The 22,800-nt window shown below is 37.8% G+C and overlaps 1 protein-coding gene across 176 annotated transcripts in view, besides 3 other annotated features; it reads left to right on the top strand.

Annotated features, from left to right (window-relative positions):
* The window catches only part of PTK2 (protein tyrosine kinase 2), a 344,180-nt gene that overhangs the window by 97,449 nt on the left and 223,931 nt on the right, over positions 1–22,800 (top strand). For 174 of the 176 annotated variants that reach the window (NR_148039.2, NR_148038.2, NR_148036.2 and 171 more), the window contains one exon: positions 13,862–14,088. Coding sequence is in view for 158 of the 176 variants with exons in the window: in XM_047422021.1 (XP_047277977.1) it covers positions 13,862–14,088 (227 nt within the window). In the remaining 18 variants the exon portion in view is untranslated. Of the gene's footprint in view, positions 1–13,861; positions 14,089–20,257; positions 21,530–22,800 lie in introns of those variants that run through there. The other 2 variants (XM_047422048.1, NM_001352736.2) reach the window with 2 other exon arrangements.
* Positions 11,242–11,455: a silencer, noted in NCBI's record as "fragment chr8:141903275-141903488 (GRCh37/hg19 assembly coordinates)". NCBI's record gives its function as "represses an EF-1alpha promoter that drives an FKBP-Casp9 reporter gene in an ReSE screen in K562 erythroleukemia cells {active_cell/tissue: K562}" and the evidence as "EXISTENCE:reporter gene assay evidence [ECO:0000049][PMID:32094911]".
* Positions 12,147–12,775: an enhancer, noted in NCBI's record as "H3K27ac hESC enhancer chr8:141901955-141902583 (GRCh37/hg19 assembly coordinates)". NCBI's record gives its function as "activates a minimal SCP1, AML or CMV promoter by ChIP-STARR-seq in naive H9 embryonic stem cells {active_cell/tissue: H9 hESC(naive)}" and the evidence as "EXISTENCE:reporter gene assay evidence [ECO:0000049][PMID:30033119]".
* Positions 12,776–13,406: an enhancer, noted in NCBI's record as "OCT4-NANOG-H3K27ac hESC enhancer chr8:141901324-141901954 (GRCh37/hg19 assembly coordinates)". NCBI's record gives its function as "activates a minimal SCP1, AML or CMV promoter by ChIP-STARR-seq in naive H9 embryonic stem cells {active_cell/tissue: H9 hESC(naive)}" and the evidence as "EXISTENCE:reporter gene assay evidence [ECO:0000049][PMID:30033119]".

The following is a 22,800-nucleotide window of genomic DNA, read 5'->3' as shown; positions in this document are numbered from 1 at the left end:
CCCAGGACCAGACAGATTCACAGCTGAATTCTACCAGAGGTACAAAGAAGAGCTGGTACAATTCCTTTTGAAACTATTCCAAGCAATAGAAAAAGAGGGACTCTTCCCTAACTCATTTTATGAGGTCAGCATCATCTTGATACCAAAATTTGGCAGACACACAAGAAAAAAAGAAAATTTCAGGCCGATATGCCTGATGAACATCGATGCGAAAATCCTCAATAAAATGCTGGCAAACCCAATCCAGCAGCACATGAAAAAGCATATCCACCACTATCAAGTCGGCTTCATCCCTCGGATGCAAGGCTTGTTCAACAAACGCAAATCAATAAACATAATCCATCACATAAACAGAACCAATGACAAAAACCATGATTATCAATAGATGCAGAAAAGGCCTTCAATAAAATTCAACACCCCTTCATGTTAAAAACTCTCAATAAAGTACGTATTGATGGAACGTATCTCAAAATAATAAGAGCTATTTATGACAAACCCACAGCTAATACCATACTGAATGGGCAAAAGCTGGATGCATTCCCTTTGAAAACTGGCACAAGACAAGGATGCCGTCTCTCACCACTCCTATTCAACATAGTATTGGAAGTTCTGGCCAGGGCAGTCAGGCTAGAGAAAGAAAGAAAGAAAGGATATTCAAATAGGAAGAGAGGAAGTCAAAATTGTCTCTGTTTGTGGATGACATGATTGTATATTTAGAAAACCCCATCATCTTAGCCCAAAATCTCCTTAAGCTGATAAGCAACTTCAGCAAAATCTCAGGGTTCAAAATCAATGTGCAAAAATTACAAGCATTCCTATACACCAATAATAGAGAGCCAAATCATGAGTGAACTCCCATTCACAATTGCTATAAAGAGAATAAAATACCTAGGAATACATCTTACAAGGGATGTGAAGGACCTCTTCAAGGAGAACTACAAACCACTGCTCATGGAAATAAGAGAGGACACAAACAAATGGAAAAACATTCCATGCTCATGGGTAGGAAGAATCAATATTGTGAAAATGGCCATACTGCCCAAAGTAATTTATAGATTCGATGCTGTCCCCATGAAGCTCCCATTGACTTTCTTCACAGAATTAGAAAAAACTACTTTAAATTTCATACGGAACCAAAAAAGAGCCCGCATAGCCAACTCAATCCTAAGCAAAAAGAACAAAGCTAGAGGCATCATGCTACCTGACTTCAACCTATCCTACAAGGCTACAGTATCCCAAACAGCATGGCAGTGGTACCAAAACAGATATTATGGTACTGGTACCAAAACAGATAGACCAGTGGAACAGAACAGAGGCCTCAGAAATAACGCCATACATCTACAACCATCTGATCTTTGACAAACCTGACAAAAACAAGCAATGGGGGAAAGGATTCCCTATTTAATAAATGGTGCTGGGAAAACTGGCTAGCCATATGTAGAAAACTGAAACTGGACCCCTTCCTTACACCTTATACAAAAATTAACTCAAGATGGATTAAAGACTTAAACGTAAGACCTAAAACCATAAAAACCCTGGAAGAAAACCTAGGCAATACCATTCAGGACATAGGCATGGGCAAAGACTTCATGACTAAAACAACAGAAGCAATGGCAACAAAAGCCAAATTGACAAATGGCATCTAATTAAACTAAAGAGCTTCTGCATGGCAAAAAAAAAAAAAAAAAAAAAAAAAAAAAAAAAAACAACTCTCATCAGAGTGAACAGGCAACCTACAGAATGGGAGAAAATTTTTGTAATCTGTCTATCTGACTAAGGGCTAATATCCAGAATCTTCAAAGAACTTAAATTTACAAGAAAAAAACAACCCCACCAAAAAGTGGGCGAAGGATATGAACAGACACTTCTCAAGAAGACATTTATGTGGCCAATAAACATATGAAAAAAAGCTCATCATCACTGGTCATTAGAGACATGCAAAGCAAAACCACAGTGAAATACCATCTCACACCAGTTAGAATGGCAATCATTAAAAATTCAGGAAACAACAGAAGCTGGAGAGGATGTGGAGAAATAGGAACGCTTTTACACTGTTGGTGGGAGTGTAAATTAGTTCAACCATTGTGGAAGACAGTGTGGCAATTCCTCAAGGATCTAGAACCAGAAATACCATTTGACCCAGCAATCCCATTATTGGGTATATACCCAAAGGATTATAAATCATTCTATAAAGACACATGCACATGTATGTTTATTGCAACACTGTTCACAGTAGCAAAGACTTGGAACCAACCCAGATGTCCATCAGTGATAGACTGGATAAAGAAAATATGGTGGCTGGGCACGGTGGCTCACGCCTGTAATCCCAGTACTTTTGGAGGCCGAGGCGTGTGGATCGCCTGATGTCAGGAGTTTGAGACCAGCCCTGGCCAACATGGCAAAACCCCATCTTTACTAAAAATACAAAAATTAGCTGGGCGTGGTGGCGTGCGCCTGTAATCCCAGCTACCCAGGAGGCTGAGGCAGGAGAATCACTGGAACCCGGGGGTCAGAGGCTGCAGTGAGCCAAGATTGTGCCGCTGCACTCCAGACTGGGTGACAGAGCAAGACTCCATCTCCAAAAAAAAAAAAAAATGTGGCACATATACACCATGGAATACTCTGTAGCCATAAAAAAGGATGAGTTGATGTCCTTTGCAGGGACGTGGATGAAGCTGGAAACCATCATTCTTGGCAAACTAACACAGGAACAGAAAACCAAACACTGCATGTTCTCACTCATAAGTGGGAGTTGAACAATGACAACACATGGACACAGGGAGGGGAACATCACACACCGGGGCCTGTCGCAGGATTGTTGGGGGTAGGGGAGGGATAGCGTTATGAGAAATATTCCTAATGTAGATGACGGGTTGATGGGTGCAGCAAACCACCATGGCATGTGTATACCTACATAACAAACCTGCACGTTCTGCACATATATCCCAGAACTTAAAAGTATTTAAAAAAAAAAAAAAAAAGACAGGATCTTGCTTTCTTGCCCAAGCTGGAGTTCATTGAGCATGATTTTAGCTCATTGTACCTCCAACTCCTTCTATTGAGTTTTCTAAGCTCTTTATAGATTCTGGTTATTAATCCGTTGTCAGATGGGTAGGTGCAAATACTTTCTCCCATTCTTTGTGTTGTCTTTTTACTTTGTTAATTGTGTCTTTTGCTCTGCAGAGGCTTTTTATCTTGATGTAATCCCATTTGTCTTATTTTTGCTTTAGTTGCCTGTATTTTTGAGGTCTTAAGTTGAAAAATCCTTGTCGAGATCAGTGTCCAGAAGTGTTTCCCCAGTATTTTCTTACAGTAATTCCATAGTTTCAGGTCTTAGAGTTGAGTCTTTAATTCCATGTGGATTTGCTATTTTGTGTATGGTGAGAGAGAGAGAGAGAGAGATGTAATTTCATTCTCCTGCATACAGTTATCCAGTTTTCTCGGCACCAGGTATTAAAGGAACTATCATTTCCCCACTGCATGATCTTGGAGGTTGGAGGCTTTGTCAAAAATGAATTGGTTGTAAATGTATGGATTTATATTTGAGATCTCCATTCTGTTTCATTGCCCTGTGTGTTTTTATGCCTGTACCATGCTGATTTGGTTACTATAGCTTATTGTAATTTTTGAAGTCAGGTAGTGTAATGTCTCCAGCTTTGTTCTTTTTGCTCAGGATTGCTTTGGCTATTCAGGGTCTTTTGTGGTTCCATATAAATTTTAGGATTTTTTTTTTCCTATTTCTGCGAAGAATGTCATTGGTATTTTGATAGGGATTCCATTGAATCTGTAAATTGCTTTGGGTATTGTTGTCATTTTAACAATATTAATTTTTCCAATCCTTTAACATGAAATATTTTTCAACTTGTGTATGTGTGTCCTCTTCAATTTCTTCCTTTTTTTTCTCTCTTTTTGAGACAGTCTCACTTTGTCACCCAGGCTGGAATGCAGTGGCACGATCTCGGCTCACTGCATCCCCCACCTCCCGGGTTCAAGCTGTTCTGATGGCTCAGCTTCTCGAGTAGCTGGGATTACAGGCATGTGATACCATGCCTGGCAAATTTTTGTAATTTTAGTAGAGATGGGGTTTCGCCATGTTGGTGAGGCTGGTCATGAACTCCTGGCCTCTAGTGATACGCCTGCCTTGACCTCCCAAAGTGCTGGGATTACAGGCATGAGCCACCACACCCAGCCCCTCTTCAATTTCTTTCACCAATGTTTTATAGTTTTCCTTATGTTGATCATTTACTTCTTTGGTTAAATTGACTCCTAGGTATTTGATATTTTTTGTAGCTGTTGTAAATGTGATTGCTTTCTTGATTTATTTTATACATTGTTCGTTGTTGGTGTATATAAATGCTACTTCTTTTCATATGTTGGTTTTTGCATCCTGCTACTTTACTGAATTTATCAGTTCTTAAAGCTTTTTGGTGAAGTCTTTGGGTTATAAGATCATGTCATCTGTCAACGAAACTAATTTGACATCTTCCTTGTCGATTCGGGTGCCTTTTATTTCTCTTGTCTAATTGCTCTGGCCAGGACTTTCAGTACTATGTTGAATAAAAGTGGTGAGAGTGGGCATCCTTGTATTGTTTCAGATCGCAGAGGAAAGGCCTTCACATTTTCCCTCAGCTCGATGTTAGTTTGTGGATTTGTCATATATGGCCTTTTATTATTTTGAGATATATTCCTTCTGTACCCTATTTTTTGGGAATTTTTATCATGAAGAGATGTTGAATTTTATCAAATGCTTTTTCTTCATCTATTGAGATGAGACCATATGGTTTTTTCTTCTTTGTTCTGTTAATGTGATATATCACATTTATTGATTTGCATATGTTGAACTCTCCTTGCATCTCTGGGATGAATCCTACTTAATCATGGTAATTGATCTTTTGAATGTGTTGTTTAATTCAGTTTGCTAGTATTTTGTTGAGGATATTTGTGTTTACGTTCCTCAGTGATATTGGCCTGTAGTTTTCTTTTTTTGTTGCATTGTTGTCTGGTTTTGTTGTAAAGGTAATACTGCCCTTGTAAAATGATTTTGGAAATATTCTCCCCTCTTCAATATTTTTGAGTAGAAGAGTTTGCAGTAGAATTGGTATTACTTCTTAAAATGTTTTTTGTAAAATTCATCAATTGGCTTATTGAGGTTTTCTTGTTTCTTCATGATTCAATCTTGATAGGTTGTATGTGTCCAAGAATTTATCAATTTATTCCAGCTTTTCAAATTTGTTAGCAAATGTTGTTCACAATAGTCTCTGTAAGAGTCTTTGTATTTCTGTAGTAATCAGTATAGTGGCTGAGTTCCAAGAAAACCGAGGGAATCTTGGTCAACTCTTTTTGGTTTATTTTTCTTTTGGTAATTGCCTTTTATTTCCTAGCCTAGAAAGTCCCTTAGCCAGAGTCAGAAGCCCACCCAGATTCAAGGAGAGGGAATACAGATTCCACTTATTAACAGAAAGTGTATCAAAGTTACATTGGAAAAAGGGCATATTAAACATTAAGTAATTTCATGTTAGCTGCTTTGTCTAGTAAAATCAGGAAATTTAGGTTAGACTTTTTATGGGAAAATAAACTCAAGCGTTATAGAAAATACCAAAATGATGGAGAAGATAACTTTTATACCAGTTTAGTTTAAGGAGTCACTTTAACTAGAAATATTACCCAGATTCTTAAAGCTCTTCAAGTTAGGTCATAATTTCTTTTGATTTAGCTGTCTCAATTTGCATTCCTTTGCTTATTCTCTCATGTTCTAACAGTGAGCTACTCTTCTTTCAACACCCTCCCTCACCACTCTCCCTCCCCTTTACAGCTTCAGCAAATGTCTCAAGTTTTATTAAAGGGTCAGTGTACTTTAAGCATAATGAGGTAGTTATCTTGGTGGGATCTTAACATGTACAGTAATTATAAATGAGGGAATTCTGGAGTAAAGAGTAGGGTGTTTATTATGTTCGTTGCATTTTTTTCCCTTTTTTGTATGTGCTGCATTATGTAGCATTTACATCAGGTTGTGGGTTGAACCTTGGAGCTTAACTCCAGAGGTTAGTAACACTTTTTTCTTCACATCTGGACTTGGAACTGCCCTATTTCTTCAAGAGGAGAAGAAACAGTTAGGCACTGAGAACCCTTGATATGTTTCCTATGTTAATTAAAGGGAGACCTAAAGTTGTAGACAGCTGAGCAGCAATTATTGACATTCCATCTTCTCTCCCATTCCAGTCCACATTTGCTCTCTTGCCTACAGTGATTTAAACTGGGCAGCCTGGCTGAGCCAGGACTCAGTAAAGTGTAGTCAGCAGACTAATGTTGGTGCAGATGAATGTTGGTGCTGGAACTGTTTAACAGCCTAGGACAAGATAAGGAAATTTGGTGTAAGCATCTAGACACCTTACAGCAATTTGATAGTAATTTTATGTCGATTGATTCTAATGATGGAAATTTTGTGCTTGGCTTAGGTATGTCTTTTTTTAAAAAAACTTCTTTTTTCTAGAAATTCCTTTTCATTGTATTTTACAAAAGTATTGGTCTGTGATAGGTTGGAAATTTAAACTGGTTCTTCATCACAGATGATTTGAAAAGTACTGGCCTAAGCCACGTAAAAACAGTTTTTGGTTTTAAAATCTTTTCATTTCTGCCTTGATAATTTATTGAAAAAGATATTATGTAGTGCGCAAAAGTGGCAGATCTCTGTGAATAATTAATCTTGAAAAGTTTTTAAAAATGTAATTGGCCGCAGAAACAGAAGGGCTACAATAACAAAGCCCTGTTAAAAGATTACCTTTCCATGGTGAGGGGGTAAAAGACTTTTTTCATTTAGAGACACACAAAGAATTGGCAGCCCCAGCTGTTCAACTTTAGCCATGGATCAGAAGCAAATACAGAACCACACAAACAACACAGGGAAGTCTGTTAATTGGTAGAAACAGAATAGTCATTGTAGCAGAAAGCAACTCTTGGGACTTGTCATTCTATAGTTGAGGCCATTCTTTGAACTGACCAAACCGTGATGAGTGCCCAAAGAGGTGACCCAGATGCCAGGATCTCAGAACCCTCAAGACCAACAAAAACATGAAGACACGTGAATGCCACCAACAGGGTACTTGGGAGGTTAACAGCATCAGACACAGACCTTCCCGGAGAGAGCTGAAGAAGGCCTGATGGCAAATATATTGCATATTTGAGAATTTATAGCACAGATCAGATTTTGACAAGCAGATAAAACATTAAAGTGTAAAACAAAATAACATTCCTTTTTTTTTTCTTTTGGTAAGTTCTGAAAGGATAGGAGCAAAATCACATTCTATAATGGAAAACTGCTTCATTCTGGTAACATTGTAACAAAAGTTTATCTTTAAAAAAATGTTTTGGCCTATTTTTTGAAGACCTATTTATGAAGGCCTGTTTATGGAGAATCTCACCATTGATTTTTGGGCCACATAGGTATATTTGGATTGTGTGGTATTTTTGGTTTAGCTTCTCCCCCGACATACTCCGTATTTATTCCAAGTAGTGTTTTTTCATTGCTAGCATATCTTTTCTTCTGATGACTTGTGAGGTGTAATCTTTTCTTCCAGGAAGCAGTTGATACTATGAATTTAGTTGTCTTTATCTTCTAATTTGGGCTTCAAAAGAGTTAGCTAAAATGATCAGAAGTATAGTTGTTGTTTTACTATCCAGCAGTCTTGTTACATTTATTTATTTATTCCAGCAGTTTATTTGTAGATTCTTTTAGATTTTCTTCATAATCTATGCATAATTATAGTTTTACTTACATAGTTTATGAATAATGATAGTTTTGTTTGTTCTTTCCCAATGTTTATGTTTTACCCACCCCCCCCCCCCGTTTTTTTGGGGGGAAGGGGGGGCGTCTATGGTACTTGGCAGTGACTTCCAGAACAATGCTGTACGCAAGTGGTAATGGTGGGCATCCATGTCTTATTTCCAGTTTGGGGAGGGGAAGTTTTTTTCCCACTAGTATTTACATTTCATGTAGATACTCTTTGTCAGATATATGAAATCTCATCCTATTTCTAGTTTGCTGCGAGTTTTTATCATGAATGGTTGGTAAATTTTATCATATGTGTTTTCTGCATGTATCGAGGTAGCTGGCTCTTCTTTCTGAAAATGTGGTGAATTACACTGATTGCTTTTTGAATGAATACCTTTCTTCTATTCCTAGAATAAACTTTTGGTCATGATACATTATTCCTTTAAAATATTGCTGGATTATACTTGTTAAGATTTTTGCATCTGTGTTTATAAGAAAGGTAGACTTTTATCGTTTCTCATCCTGTTCTGTCAGGTTTTGATATCACTGTTCTGCAGGTGTCATAAAACAAGTTGGGAAATGATCTGTATCTGTTTTCTGGAAGAATTTGTGTAAGATTAATATTTCTTAATTTGTTGAAAGAAATAAAATGTTCCTTTGTGGGGAGAATTTTAGATGGACTATTTTAAATAGAACAGTCTAGTTTCATTTTACATTGTTTCATTTTGCTGTGTTGTGTTTTGCAAGGAATTGTGCTTATCTAAATTTTCAAATTCATTGGCATAGTTATTAATAATCCCTTATTGTATTACTCATTATCTCTTACCTCTTATTATATTCTCTTCTTCATTTTTGATGTTGCTAGTTTTTCTTGACTCATTTTATCTTTGATTAGTCTTAGAGAGGTGTATCAATTTTGTTTTTTAAAAGAGTAACTTTTAATTTTGTTCTGCTTTTAAGTTGTCCTTTTAAATATGCATTCTTTTTTAATTAAATTTTTATTGGTACATAGTAGGTATATATATATTTATGGGGTACATGAGACGTTTTGATATAGGCATACAGTGCATAATAATCACATCAGGCTAAATGGGGTATCCATCACCTCAAACATTTATCTTTTTTTGGTGTTACAAACATTCTAATTATACTCTTAGTTCTTTTTAAATGTACATTTTTATTGACCATAATGCCTAGTTGTGCTACCAAATACTAGCTCTTACGCATTCTATTTTTCTGTGCATTAACCATCCCCCCTTCACAGATGTGTATTCTTAGAGATACTCAACCTTCGCTTCTAATACATGAATTTAAATACGTAATTTTTTTTTTTTTTTAAAGGAGACAGGGTTGTGCTCTGTTGCTCAGGCTGGAGTGCAGTGGTGCAGTCATAACTTGCTGCAGCCTTGAGCTCTGGGGCTTAAGCAGTCCTCCTGCCTCAGCCTCCCAAGGAGCTGGGACTACAGGCACACACCACCATGCCCAGCTGATTTTTTTAAATTATTTTGTAGGGGTCTCACAAGCCCAGGCAGGTCTTGAACTCCTGGCCTCAAGCTGTCCTCCCATCTCAGCCTCCAAAAGTGCTGGGATTACAGGCGTGATTCACTGTGCCCTGCCAAATGTATAGATTTTACTCTAAGTATAGCTCTGTCTACATTCACAGTTTTGATATTTCTTTTCACTGTACCATTTAATTCAAAATACTTTGAGTTTCTTTTTGACTTAAAGGGTTAGTTGAAATACATTGCTTAATTTCCTGACAATGGAACATTTTCTAGTTATTTTGTAATTGTTGTCTAGCCTAATGCTAGACACAGAATATACTCTGAATAATTTTAGTCCCTTGATATTTATTGAATCTTTCTCTTTCACTCAGTGTATGGGCAACTTCAGAAAATATTTCTTGTGTGCTTGCAAAGATTATGTATTATCCTATTAGGTATAGTGTCAGTTTCTATGTCAATTAGATCAGATTTGTTAATCGTGCTCTTCAGATCTTCTATAGCGTACCAAAAGTTATAAGGGTGTATTCATGTATACTCAGAAGTGCCACCCCACACCACATCCTCCATTCCTGTACTTTCCATCTTGGTCACACCTCTCCCATGTGTAACCAGTCTCAATGGACTCCCATTTCTACTTTGTGGGGTTATTTTGCACATATGAGCAGATACATTTATATTTTCCTATTTTCCCCCTTTTATTCAAAAGGTATACTGTGGCCGTGATTTGCACTTTGGGTTTTTAACTTAATAAATCCTGGAATTCATACTTAGTCAATTATAGGGCTCTTCTTCTTTCCTTTTGTTTTTCCCCCAGCAGATTCATAGTACTCCATTATAGGAATGTACCATAGTTTACTCTATTAGTCTCCCATGAATGGGCATTTAGGTGTTTCCTAATACTTTGTAAGGCTGCAGTGAATAACCTTATGCATATGTATTTTCATGTTGTTGTTAAGTATATCTCTTCACTTGGGACGATTGTAACAAAATACATAAACTGGGTGGCTTATAAACAACAGAAACTTATTTCTCACTGGTCTAGAGGCTGGAAGTCCTAGATCAGAGTGATAGCATGGTGGAGTTCTGGTGAGGGCCCTTTTTTTCCAGTTTTCAGACTGTGGACTTAGATCCTCAGGCATATCTCTGGAGAGCAGAGAGAGGAAGCATGCTCTTGGACTTTCACAAGGGCACTAATCCCATTCATGAGGGCCTCACCATTATGACCTTATCTAGTTCAGATTCCCTCCAAAAGACCCTACCTTGTAATAGCATCACATTGGGGGGAGTATGGTATCAACTTATGAATTTTGGGAGCACACAGACATTTAGTTGGTAACAGTATATCTTTGGCATAAATTCCTAGAAGTGGAATTGCTGGATCAGAAGACACATGTAGTTTTGTTATTGTCAAATTCCCCTTTATACATACTATAGAAAATTCACATTCCCATCAGCAGTGTATGAGAGTTCTGTTTCCCCACATCCTTACCAAATGACAGGGTACTGCTATGACCTTTTTAAAAAAATTATTTGACAGTTGTTTATATATTTATATTTTCACAGAGGTAAAATTCCCATAACATAAAATTCACCATTTTAACAACTTCAAAGTGTGCAATTGAGTGTTTTTTAGTATATTCAACCATCACCATGATCTAAATTCAGACCATTTCTCTCATCCCCAAAAGAAACTCCTTATCTATTAGCAGTCCTTCCCAACTCTGCCCTACCCCCAGCCACTGGCAGCCAGTAATCTACTTTCTTCTGTATAGATTTGCATATTCCTTCATATAAGTGGAATCACAATTTGTGGTCTTTCACGTCTGGTTTCCTTGTAGTATAATGTTCTCAAGGTTCCTCCATGTTGCGGCATGTATCAGTGCTTCGTTTCTTTTTATGCTGAACAATATTTCATTGTTGGGCATACCACATTTTGTTAATCTGTTTATCCATTGATGGATGTGGATATTTGGGTTATTATCACTTTTCGGTATTGTGGATAATGCTGCTGTGACCATTCACATGTGAGGGTGTTTCATTTTGTTTTATGTCAGGGTCTCTTTCTGTCGCCCAAGCTGGAGTACAATGGCATGATCACAGCTACTGCAGCCTCGACCTCCTGGACTCAAGCAATCCTCGGCCTCCCAAGTAGCTGGGAGTACAGGCACATGCCACCATGCCCAGTTAATTTTTATAGAGATGGGGTTTCGCCATGTTGCCCAGGCTGGTCTTGAACTCCTGACCTCAAGCAGTCCTCCTGCCTCAGTCTCCCAAAGTGCTGGGATTACAGGCATGAGCCACTATGCCCAGCCATGAGTTTTTATTTGGACATACATTTTCAGTTCTTTTGGGCATATGTCTACCTAGAAATGGAATGGTTGGTTCATGTGGTAACTCCATGTTTAACCTTTTGAGGAACTGCCAAACTATTTTCATAGTAGTTGCACCATTTTATACTCTTCCAGCAATGTAGGAAGGTTTCAGTTTCTTCACATCCTTGCCTACACTTGGTATATCTTTTTAATTAATTGTCTGGATTGTCTCTTGCATTCTTTTCTATCATTTCCCCCCTCATTTTAAAAGAATTTCTGTATATATATAGGGTATTAGCTTTTTACTGTGATACATGGTACATATGTTTTTCTTTTGTGTTTTTGGCATCTTTTGACTTGGTTTATAATTTTTTTCCTTTTACTGTGCTGTTATACCATTTTTTTTTTTAACTAATTGGAGAATGATTTGGATGAAAAAGGTATTATTTATGCTTTGTTTGATACCAACAGAGGGTTGGCTCTTTTCTTTGCTGGACAGATAGTGGGGAGTTGACAGGGTCTGGCTCTGTCGCCCTGGCTGGAAAGCAGTGGCACGATCTCGGCTCACTGTAGCCTTCCCCTCTTGGGCTCAAGTGATCCTCCCCCCTCAGCCTCCCAAGTAGCTGGGACCACAAGCATGCGCCACGACTCCTGGCTCTTTATTGTAATTTTTTTGTAGAGATGGGTTTTGCCAAGTTGGCTAGGCTGGTCTTGAACCTTTGGGCTCAAGCAATCTGCCTGCCTCAGCCTCCCAAAGTGTTGGGATTATAGGCATGAGCATCTATGCCTGGCTGGATCTGTGGTTTTGTGTGTGTGTGTGTTTGTTCGTTTGTTTGTTTTGAGACAGTCTCACTCTGTGGTCCAGGCTGAAGTGCAGCAATGCAGTCACAGCTCACTATAGCCTCAACCTCCTGGGCTCAAGCTATCCTCCCACCTTAGCCTCCTGAGTAGCTGGGACTACAGGAACACGCTACCACGCCCAAGCTAATTTTTGTATTTTTTAGTAGAGACAAGGTCTTGTCATGTTGCCCAGACTGGTCTCAAACTCCTGGACTCAAGCAGTCTTCCCGCCTCAGCCTTCCAAAGTGCTGGGATTACAGGCATGAGCAGCCATACCTGGCCTGCCACGATGGATCTGAGCAGGAATTGTACTCCAGGTTTACAAAGCTCCCTTTGCTTCTGCACCCAGCTGTTCTCACTGCAAGCCTGGGGATGTCCTAACACTATTCTGGTTTATTCCTGAAGTCTTATTCCTGTTTCCTAAACCCTTTCACTGTTTTGAGAGGCTCCTTCTCAGCTTGGGTTCAGGATTCCGTAACTGTCTTCAGGAGACAACCTGCAGAGTGTTTGACACAGTCTCCACCCTTCCTTCTCACCAGAATCCAAGATTTGATCCCTTGCTGCCGAAAGCTCTGCTGGTTTCTCTCCCATTCGTAGCCTTTTCTTGTCTCTTCAGGCTCTGAAGGGCTCAGAATTGGCAAATGCCCTGTGGGAAAAAGCAGCCAGCTGTTAAGTATCATTTCCTGTCTTCATCTGTGTCACTCATTGTCTTGGTTGCCTCAGAATATCTTTGTCTCTGAGCCCTTCAAACATTGTTTGAGTTAAAAAGATTTTTAATCTGGATTTTCATGTTTCTCGATGGGTGTTTAGGCTTGTGCAGGCTATTTCTTCAAACTCAAATAGAAGTCCTTTATCGCACTTAAAAATTTTAATTGTGCATGCTTTTTTCGTTTTGTTTTCAGTTGCTGTCTGTCTGATTCTCCTGTTAACAATGAATTGGTTAAGCCAGGGACCTTATTTTAATTATAGTGTTTTTAATCACCAATGCCTAGTATATATAATGAATACTCATTGAATTTGTATTATATGAAGAAAGAACTTTTCTCTTAGGTAAAAGTTTTCAAAAGCAGGGAGCAAATTAACAAATTTGGCTTTGCTATGAGATTTTCCAACAAATTTAAAGGCTATGATTAAAAAAGGGGTGGGGGTGGGGGTATTACATTGTTTGTAGATACTTTTTGACACAGCTGAAATTGGAGTCCTGGCCTTTTAATAATTTTTTTTTAACAAATATTTATTCTGTAAATCAGGTCCTACTCTGGGTATGGGGAGAGACAGCTATTATTTTAGTGGATTAGGTCTCTATTCTCCTCAGACTCCTTCCGCATATAACATATCAAGAGAGAGTATAGGACATTTGATATAAACAACATATCACATTGTAATTGGTAGATTTCAAGTATTATACACAAAAAATTATTTTGTTCTTTTAACAGAATATGACAGATACCTAGCATCTAGCAAAATAATGGCAGCTGCTTACCTTGACCCCAACTTGAATCACACACCAAATTCGAGTACTAAGACTCACCTGGGTACTGGTATGGAACGTTCTCCTGGTGCAATGGAGCGAGTATTAAAGGTCTTTCATTATTTTGAAAGCAATAGTGAGCCAACCACCTGGGCCAGTATTATCAGGCATGGAGATGCTACTGATGTCAGGGTAAGTACGTTTTTCCATGAGACATCTTTAATGTTTATTTAGGTTAAAATGTAATGGCATGTATGAAAAAAGATAGTGTAATAATTTTTATTTAACTTATCGGGGACTTTTCATATTACAGAAATGCTATTTTTAATTATAAGATTTATTAGTTAATATGTGACTGACCAGCGTTCTAATTGTTGTAAAGTTTCTTAGAAAAATAATGACTGAATCATATTTTAGTCATAAAATACCATTGACTTATTTTTCCCTTCTAGGTTTTTTTTTTTTTTAACTCTTGGATGAGTACTAGGCAACAATGCAACTAAAATAGCCTCTAACAGTCATGAAATAAACTACTTTTCTAGAAAGTGTAATTTGGAAGGTATTTGCATGACTTCAGATAGGATAATTTCCTTTAAAACTCTTGAACATATGCTGTGTGTCAGGCACTGTGCTAGGTTCTGAAGATGTAAAAGGTCCCTGTGAAGTCCTTGATCTTACAGCTTAGAGCCTGTAGAGGGAGAGACATCATGAATGTGATTATAGTACAGTGTAGAAGTGCTTCACGGGAGGTTGTTGTGGAAGCTTGGAGGAATAATACCTTTTAAACGTAGAAGTTAGTACTGGAAAGGATTTCCTTTGGGTCTGGGAAGGTGAGGAAAGATAGTGATACAGAATTGTGGGAGAAGAGCATGCTAGGCAAAGGTAACTACATCTTTCTGAAGGTGGGGAATGAAAAGGTAGCACTGTGATTTCAGAAAGCTGAGTTCAGTATTTAAATGTTCAGTATTTGCTTTGATGAAGTGTTAAATACCTCCTCTTTCTTACCCTCTCCACCTAGTCTATATTCATCTTTAAGGAGAAGTTTCCAGTGACAAGGAAGTTTAGATACGTCTTTTTTCTTTTCTTTTCTTTCTTTTTTTTTTTTACAATAAGTAAATTAATTAATTTGCTACTCTCTAACTTACATGCCCTTATTATTTTTAACCAAAGCAAAGGGATTGGTAGAATTTAGATTTAAGGCCAACAGGTCGGGCATGGTGGTCCATGCCTGTAATCCCAGCACTTTGGGAGGCCAAGGTGGGCAGGTCACTTGAGGTCAGGAGTTTGAGAGCAGCCTGGCCAACATGGCGAAACCCCATCTCTACAAAAAATACAAAATTAGCCAGGTGTGGTGTCACATGCCTATAGTCCCAGCTACTCAGGAGGCTGAGACAGGAGAAACACTTGAACCCAGGAGGCAGAGGTTGCAGTGAGCTGAGATCGTGCCACTGCACTCTAGCCTGGGCAACAAAGTGAGACTGTCTCAAAAGAAAAAAAAGAAAAAAAAGATTTAAGGCTAAAGTCTTGTATATAAATTTTACATAATTTTTTGTTACCTCTAAATTTTAATATTAGCAAACTATTCAAATGGATTAATTATTAAAAATATGATAGCCTCTTTTTTTTTACAAACTCTTTATGAAGCTGGTTAGCTTTTTTGCGTTTTCTGTTTTTTTTCTACTTCTGTGTTTTACTTTTAACTTTATAAAACACTGTCATTTGGTAGAAAGGCCTGCAATGAGCATCCTGCCATAAGGTTTATCAGATAATTCATACTGGAAAAAAACCTTGTAGATGTAACTTTATGTAAGGCTTTTAGTGTATGTTCTAGTCTTTGTAGATTTCAGATACAGTGAATGAGGAAACTCTCCAATAAAACCATTGTATCAGCCCTAATGAACTCTAGGGCATTCATACAGGAGGGAAACCTTTCAAAGATTATGAATTTGACAAGACATTTAGCAAAAATGTTCAAGACTTACATCAGAAGACTCACCTAGGAAAGATTTTAACAGATGTGCCATGGTTTTAGTATCAAACTTTCTGCATGTAAGGGGATTACTACCATAGAGTCAGTGTCACTGCAGGCATGTTAGCCTTTAGCCAATGTTAAAAACTTCCTAGTCATACATTCATATTGTGAAGAAAAATTTACATCAGATACAAATGTATAAGTTATCAGAACTCATTTAGCAAACTTGTGAAGATCAATCTGATCAAATCTATGTGGCCACAAACAACGTGTTTTATTTCACAGTAATTGGCAAATTATCAGTCAGTGATTTTCAGATTGAGGCAGAAAAATCACAGTTGGCATTGAATTCACCATAGCCCTTTCCTGGGATAGCATGAGGTTCTCATGATACTGAGTCACTGTAATGGAAGATTGGATATTATTCATAACCAACTTCCATTGAATGCTTTAATGCTATAACATTTGAAAATGCAATATCATAATTGTAAATTAATGAGTGGATTTGTACATCTGAACAAAGGGACTGAACAACATAAGAGGTATCAGACAAAGGAACATTATGGATACAGAGTATTGTCAGGAAAGAGAAAAATGGAAGAAACATGACAGCATTTGAAGGCCTGATGACCTTAGAACAGGAAGTGGGGATTGTAGGATTTAGATTTAAGGATTAGATTAGTAAAGAATCCAAGTATAATTACTTGTCAGAAAGAAACTGACCATTGAATAGCATCAAAGGGGATGCCACACAACTATTTTCTGAAATGATACGGCTTATTGTTATTCAGGTACTGAATAACTCGATTCAGTCTTAAACTCATTATAGCTACGTTGCCCATTATCGTAGCCATGTGCAGTTGTTGAGCACTTGAATGTGGCTAGTCTGAATTGACATGTGCTATAGTATAAAAATATATACCACATTTCAAAGAGTAAGAAAACAGAATAAAATATATCAATGTGTTATGATTACATGTTAAATGATAATACTTTTGATATAGTAGGTTAACTGAACTATATTACTGAAATTGAATTTACCTGTTTGTTTTTATTTTATTTTTTTACTGTGACTACTAGAAATTTTAAAATTACTTATGTGGCTTGCATTATATTTCTGCTGGACAGTGGTGTTCTGTAGAAAGCAAATTCTCAGAAAGACTGCTTGGTTCAGAAAAAACAAAACTTTTTGAGGAGTTTAAAGATTTGTTTTCACCAAGAATATCTGGATTTTTGTAACATTTCATTATAGAGCCTTTATCATGCTTCAGTTAATAAGTATTAGTGCTTTTACAATTATGTGTGCTAATTGTATGTTAATTAATGTTTGATTGTTGAAAAGATTTGCAAGATTTCACAGTTTATAGGCAAAATCCATTACAGCAACAGTAGTAAAATGATACTCATTGAAGTGATCTGGAGATCTTGGGTACAGGCTTCTTGGCCTTGGACATGATTTTTCTGTAGATGTGAAACCATTACTGGCTTATGTGTGAAGCACCTCAGTATGAGGAAGTGGTGGGGATCTGTGAGAGGGTCACACAAGCACTCTCCATCTACGTAGCCAGCCTCAACCTGTGGACCTCCCCAGGTACTGCCAAAATCAGGTACACCTTGTCAGTCCAGTTATTATTACAAAATCGCACTGACAAGCTGGTATATTCTGCCCCCCAAACAGCTCAGGGTCCCATGATCACAAACATCACTTATCTTGGCCATAGCTTTGGCCAAGTGTCAGTACCGTGCTTCAGGCAGCTCTAGAGATAAGTGTGGGGTCAATCTAGAACAGCCAAGAGAAACCCAGGCTGTACAATGTTGAATAAGACCAGTCATCTAGAAACATGGCAGTGATAATTCAGAAAAATAATGACATAAAATTCCAAATTCTACCAGAGAAATTCCCTACTTAGGAGAAAGAATGACGTTTACACCAGACTTTTCATCAGCAATGCTGGATGCAAGAAGACATTGGAACAGTATCTTCAAAGGGCTCAGGGAAAATAACATGTACTTTAGAAGTCTATATCAGATAAATTATTAATCAAGATAATGTGAAATGAAGGTATCTGCAGAGAAGTAGTGACATAGAAAGCTAATAGCATGGGCTCTCTTTGAAAAAACAATTAGATGATATAATGCAGCGTGGAAAAAAGTTGAGCCCATAAGAAAATACTGTAGCAGGATGCAAGAGACAGTGGTCCATTGTCATACTTGCTGCCTTGTATGCTGTCTTGTACCTCTCTTAATGTCCCCGTAGTCTCTTGAATCTACCACCATGATTTAATCCAACCTTCTGCCTATTCTCCACCTGTCGCCATCCTGTGATTGGTTACATTCTAGATTTGCAACCTTAGTGCTACCCAGCTGTCATGCTCTATCCCCCCATCTTGTTCTCTCCTAGACAACCATTTCATACCTCGTCCACTTTCTTCAACCTGCAGTACTTGGAAAAGTCCACACATTTCTATATCTTCCCTTTCCCCAACATTTGTACCTCACTTCTCTGTCTTTACACTTCTTGCTACAAAATAACCATCCAGTGCTCCAGTCAAAGGGTTACCTCATCTTTTAGTTACTCAGATCCATTTGCAATCGTCTTTTATTCCTCTTTTGCTCTCAAGCCATATCGAATACATTAGCTAATCCTGTCCACATTATCTTCAAAAATATATCCAGAACCTACCCATTTCATATTGCCTCCACTGCTACCCCTTTCTTTGAGCTCTTCTTCAGTAGCTGCCTTAAAATGTCTCTTCCATACATTATGGCATGGTATCCTAACTGACATCTTGTTTCCCTACTTGCTCTCCTTAGTCTGTTGACAACCCAGCAGCCAGAATGATCCTGGAGAGATGAAAGCCAGAGCACTTCACTCCTCCACTCAGAACCCGGTTTCATTTAGTCAACATGCACGTCCTTTGAGAGTCTCACCCATCTCCCCCATCCTGTCCCATCATGCCCTGTCACCTCTGTCCTAGTCACTCACTTTTTCTTTCTGCTTCCTGTTTCTCTAACATACTAATCACCGAATCAGTGATTTGCTTAAATCCCCCCAAGAGCTCCCCATTTCTCCCAGACTAAAAGCCAGATTCCTTTTGTGGCCTACAAGGACCTACGGGATGTGGCTCCTTGCTTGTTCTCACCCTGCCCTTACTAACTCTGCCTGCCAGGGCATGCCAGTCTAAGAATGCTCCCTTATGCCTCACCATTGCTGTTTTTCTGTCACTATTTTATTTTCTTCAGATCATTATTATTGACATCGTCTTGTACTTGATTTGTTTGCTCATTTATTAGCTGTTTTCTTCCCCAACTTCTTAAGTTCTGTGACATCAGGGATCTTTGTACTTCATGGTATTATTGCCAATGTCTTTAACAGTGTCTAGCAGGCAAACAGCCAAGTGCTCAGTAGGTATAGGTACTTTTGTTGAATGACTATATGGCATCCAAGGTGAAATGGAATATTTCTGAGAGAAATATGTTAGGAACATTGACCACAGAAGTAGAAAGCCTTAATTGACAAATAACCACAAAGATATTGATTTGATAGCCAAAGATTATACCTATTCAAAGCCATACCCCACTTTACTGATATCTCTGTACCTAGCTTATTTTTTAAAAAGACATTACAAGGACTAGAACAAATAATTTCATGCCCATACACCAGGCAAGTACTGGGCAAATACTGTATGATGCTGCTTAAGATTACACCACCATTGAGTACTTGGACAGTATTCTTATCCCATTCAAAACCCCTTAAAATTTTTCTGACTGGTACATTGAACTTTTCTAAATAAATAGCATATCCTCAGGTTTCAGTACTAGTCATGAGTCAGTAGGGAATGGTTGGTAAATCTGAATCTGTAATAGTAAATGGAAAAAAATCAGTTCATGTAGTTTGTTAAAATATAGGTGTGTTGGGTTGGATTAATACTAATTACTGTTACCAAGCTGGTAGTGGGAAGACTGGTAATGGGAAGTAACGTTGTGTTCAATTTAAAATCATCCTTCTGATAGGAATGGGAAAATGTACAGTGATTTGGGATTCTGCAAGAACAAACTATGCTATAAACAACTGGTATCTGTAGGGGAAGGGAATTCTTCAGGGAGTTTTCCCTGAGTTTGGCCATAGGTAGGTGCCTGGAGGACTTTTCAGAGCAGTCCAACGGTCTTCAGTGTTTATTGTTAGGTGTCATCACTGGACACTTTGTGTGTGTTAGAAGTGTAAGCTGTTCTCTCTGACAGAGGAGCAGGTGAATGTATGTTTAAAAACATTTAAAAACAATTGATTATTAATAACAATCAATTGAACATTGATTGTTACGGATTCAAATAGTTTTGATTCTAGAAAGGACTATGGAGGTCTTAGAAAATTAAACTCTTCCTTTACAGGATGGAAAGTATCATCTAGGAAGAAAGCTAGAAAGGAAAGCTTTAAGAAAAAGCATAAAAGCCATGTTAAAGAGGAGAACCTAAGCTAACAGAGCACGAGGAAGAAAAAATTTTGAATTCAAAATCCTGAGAGATAGTGATTGAGGTAGTGATTTCCCATAGGTAGAATGTTGGCTCCTAAAGATGCCTACATCCTAATCCCCAGAACCTGTGCAGATGTCCCCTTACGTGGCCAGAGGGACTTGTAGGCGTGATGAAGGCTACAGACCTTAAGGTGGGGAGATCATGAGTCCTTCACTGCAGCAGGCCTTTTCTTAACCGTGGTCAGTGGGAGGTGAATATGAAAGAAGGATCAGATGCAACGTTGAGGGAAGAAGACGACCATGAGCCAAGGAGTGCAGTGCCCTGTAGAAGCTGGAAAAGACAAGCTAAGAGCCTCCAGAAAACAGCACATCCCTGCTGACGTCTTTATTTTAGGCCAGTGAGACCCATTTCATACTTGTGATCTACAAAACTAAAAGATAATGCACTTGTTGTGTTTTAAGCTCCCAAGTTTGTGGTGATTTATTACAGAGGTAATAGGGAACTAATACAGTGACTGTGGACCACCAAGATAAAAAAGTACATTCTTTGTCTTGGAAGACTTTTAGAAGGACTCCTAGTTTATGACTGGACCAAGAGGAGGAAACGTACTAGGTGTTGGAGAACAGGATTTGAATTTCTGGATCTTTCTTTTTGATAACCCAATGATGAAAGCCTCCAAGAAGAATGGTAGGAATCCCTTGGTTTTCTAAAGCTGAAGAGTATCTGAAAGAGAAACACAATGAGAAAAAGAAACACTATACTATAGAAGAATCAGTAATGATGATTATATTTGGTAATTCTTAGGAAGCAGTAAGGAGATAAACAGTGTCAACAATGTGTGTTGCTTCAGATATCTCTTCTAGTAATAAATCTGAAAATTAAGTGTGAGACTATAGCTAAAAATATAAAATATCCCTTTTTGTCCCCTCCTCCCCACAAACCACTTAATACTCATTTGCACATGTTCATTGTCATGTCTTTCTCCTGTGAGACTCTTTAAGACTTCTGAGGGTCAGAATTGCATCTTAACCGTTATTGTGTCACTAGCATCATGCATGTAGTAGGCACTTCAGATGTTCATGAATAAATGAATGAACAGTTTATGAAAGAATGAACATGGAGGAAAGAGTCACATGACCTATTTCGAACAGTGGTGAAGGTCATTTGTTTGAAAGTACTGTCTAAAAGGTAAGTGGCTAAATGGAACCAAGCAAAATAATAAAAACTTTCAGAAATGAACAAAAGTATAGCCTCATCTCACTAGTGAGTAATCAGGGAAATTAAACCATCATAACAACAGTAAAATACCTGTGGAAGTTTTTTTGGTCATTAAATTGATCATCATAAGATTAATTTTATTCATTAATGTGAGATAAATGATACTCTGTAACATTATGCATCAAGTATAATTGGTATAGTTTTGTTGATGGCCAGGAAGTTTGGTTGTGCTTATCAAAATGTTTCAGTTAAAGGAAATTTTGTCTGTTTCTATGCAGTGGTCATAAATACCTTTGATGACAGCTAGAAGGATGTTCATAGCAGTATTTTTATTTACACCTTCCTTTCTCCCTCAGAACAAGGAAATCTTTATTCATCAGTAGTAAAATGACCTTGCACATTTAATGTTATGTTCCTGATAAGATACAGGCATGATGTGAACACTGGCTTTTATTTTAACCTTGAAAAGAATTCTTTTACCATGAATGTCTACTATGAGAATTTAATCAGAAAAGTTGTGTATTTCTGACACTTGGGTTATGAGAGACAGGTTTCAGAGTAGCCAATTATTGTTTTGTATTTCATAGGACCAGATAGATGTGTCTTCAAAGTCACGATGAGAAATTTAAATTTAATTCTGGTACCTTTAGTGGCATATTAAAAACCCATGTCCTATTATCCTTTTAGAGACAGTCATTTTTATTCTAAATGTACGTGTGTGTGATATGAAAATGGGGCACTTCCATATGGCAGCACTGTAGGGTTGGTTGAGTTTACATTCCTCACTAAATACGTAGTTCTCAGAATTATTTGTTGAGTTATCCAGACCAGATATTTAGTTCTCAAAATTACTTAAGTTACTGAGTATATGCATTTAGCACCACATATTTAAGCACTTTGTATATTTATAATGTTTGCCACTATCCAGAGAAATTTATAAGGGTGCTAGAGAATGAGCAGTAGGACAGAGTACGATATGGATGCGTAATGAGAAAGCAAAAAATGAAACAGAAGGTAATATCTGTGTGTTTATTGCTTTTCACTGTTTCATGGAGAGTGAAAGTTGAAAGCTGGTTTGCTCATGAGGTACTACTGTATGCAAAGGCTGTGTCACTCAGATCCACACTTTGAAGTCACTCTGAGTCTCTTCAGGCAGCATGATCAAGTGAATGGAATAAGATTCTCTCTCTTACGTGAAACTCCAAGACAGAAACCTGCCTTTCCCTAACAGATACCACAGT

The sequence above is a fragment of the Homo sapiens genome, chromosome 8 (genome assembly GCF_000001405.40).
Source record: "Homo sapiens chromosome 8, GRCh38.p14 Primary Assembly".
In the NCBI taxonomy this organism is placed as follows: domain Eukaryota; kingdom Metazoa; phylum Chordata; class Mammalia; order Primates; family Hominidae; genus Homo; species Homo sapiens.
The sequence above is the reverse complement of the archived record's forward strand: the minus strand, read 5'-3'. Positions and strand labels throughout refer to the sequence as shown.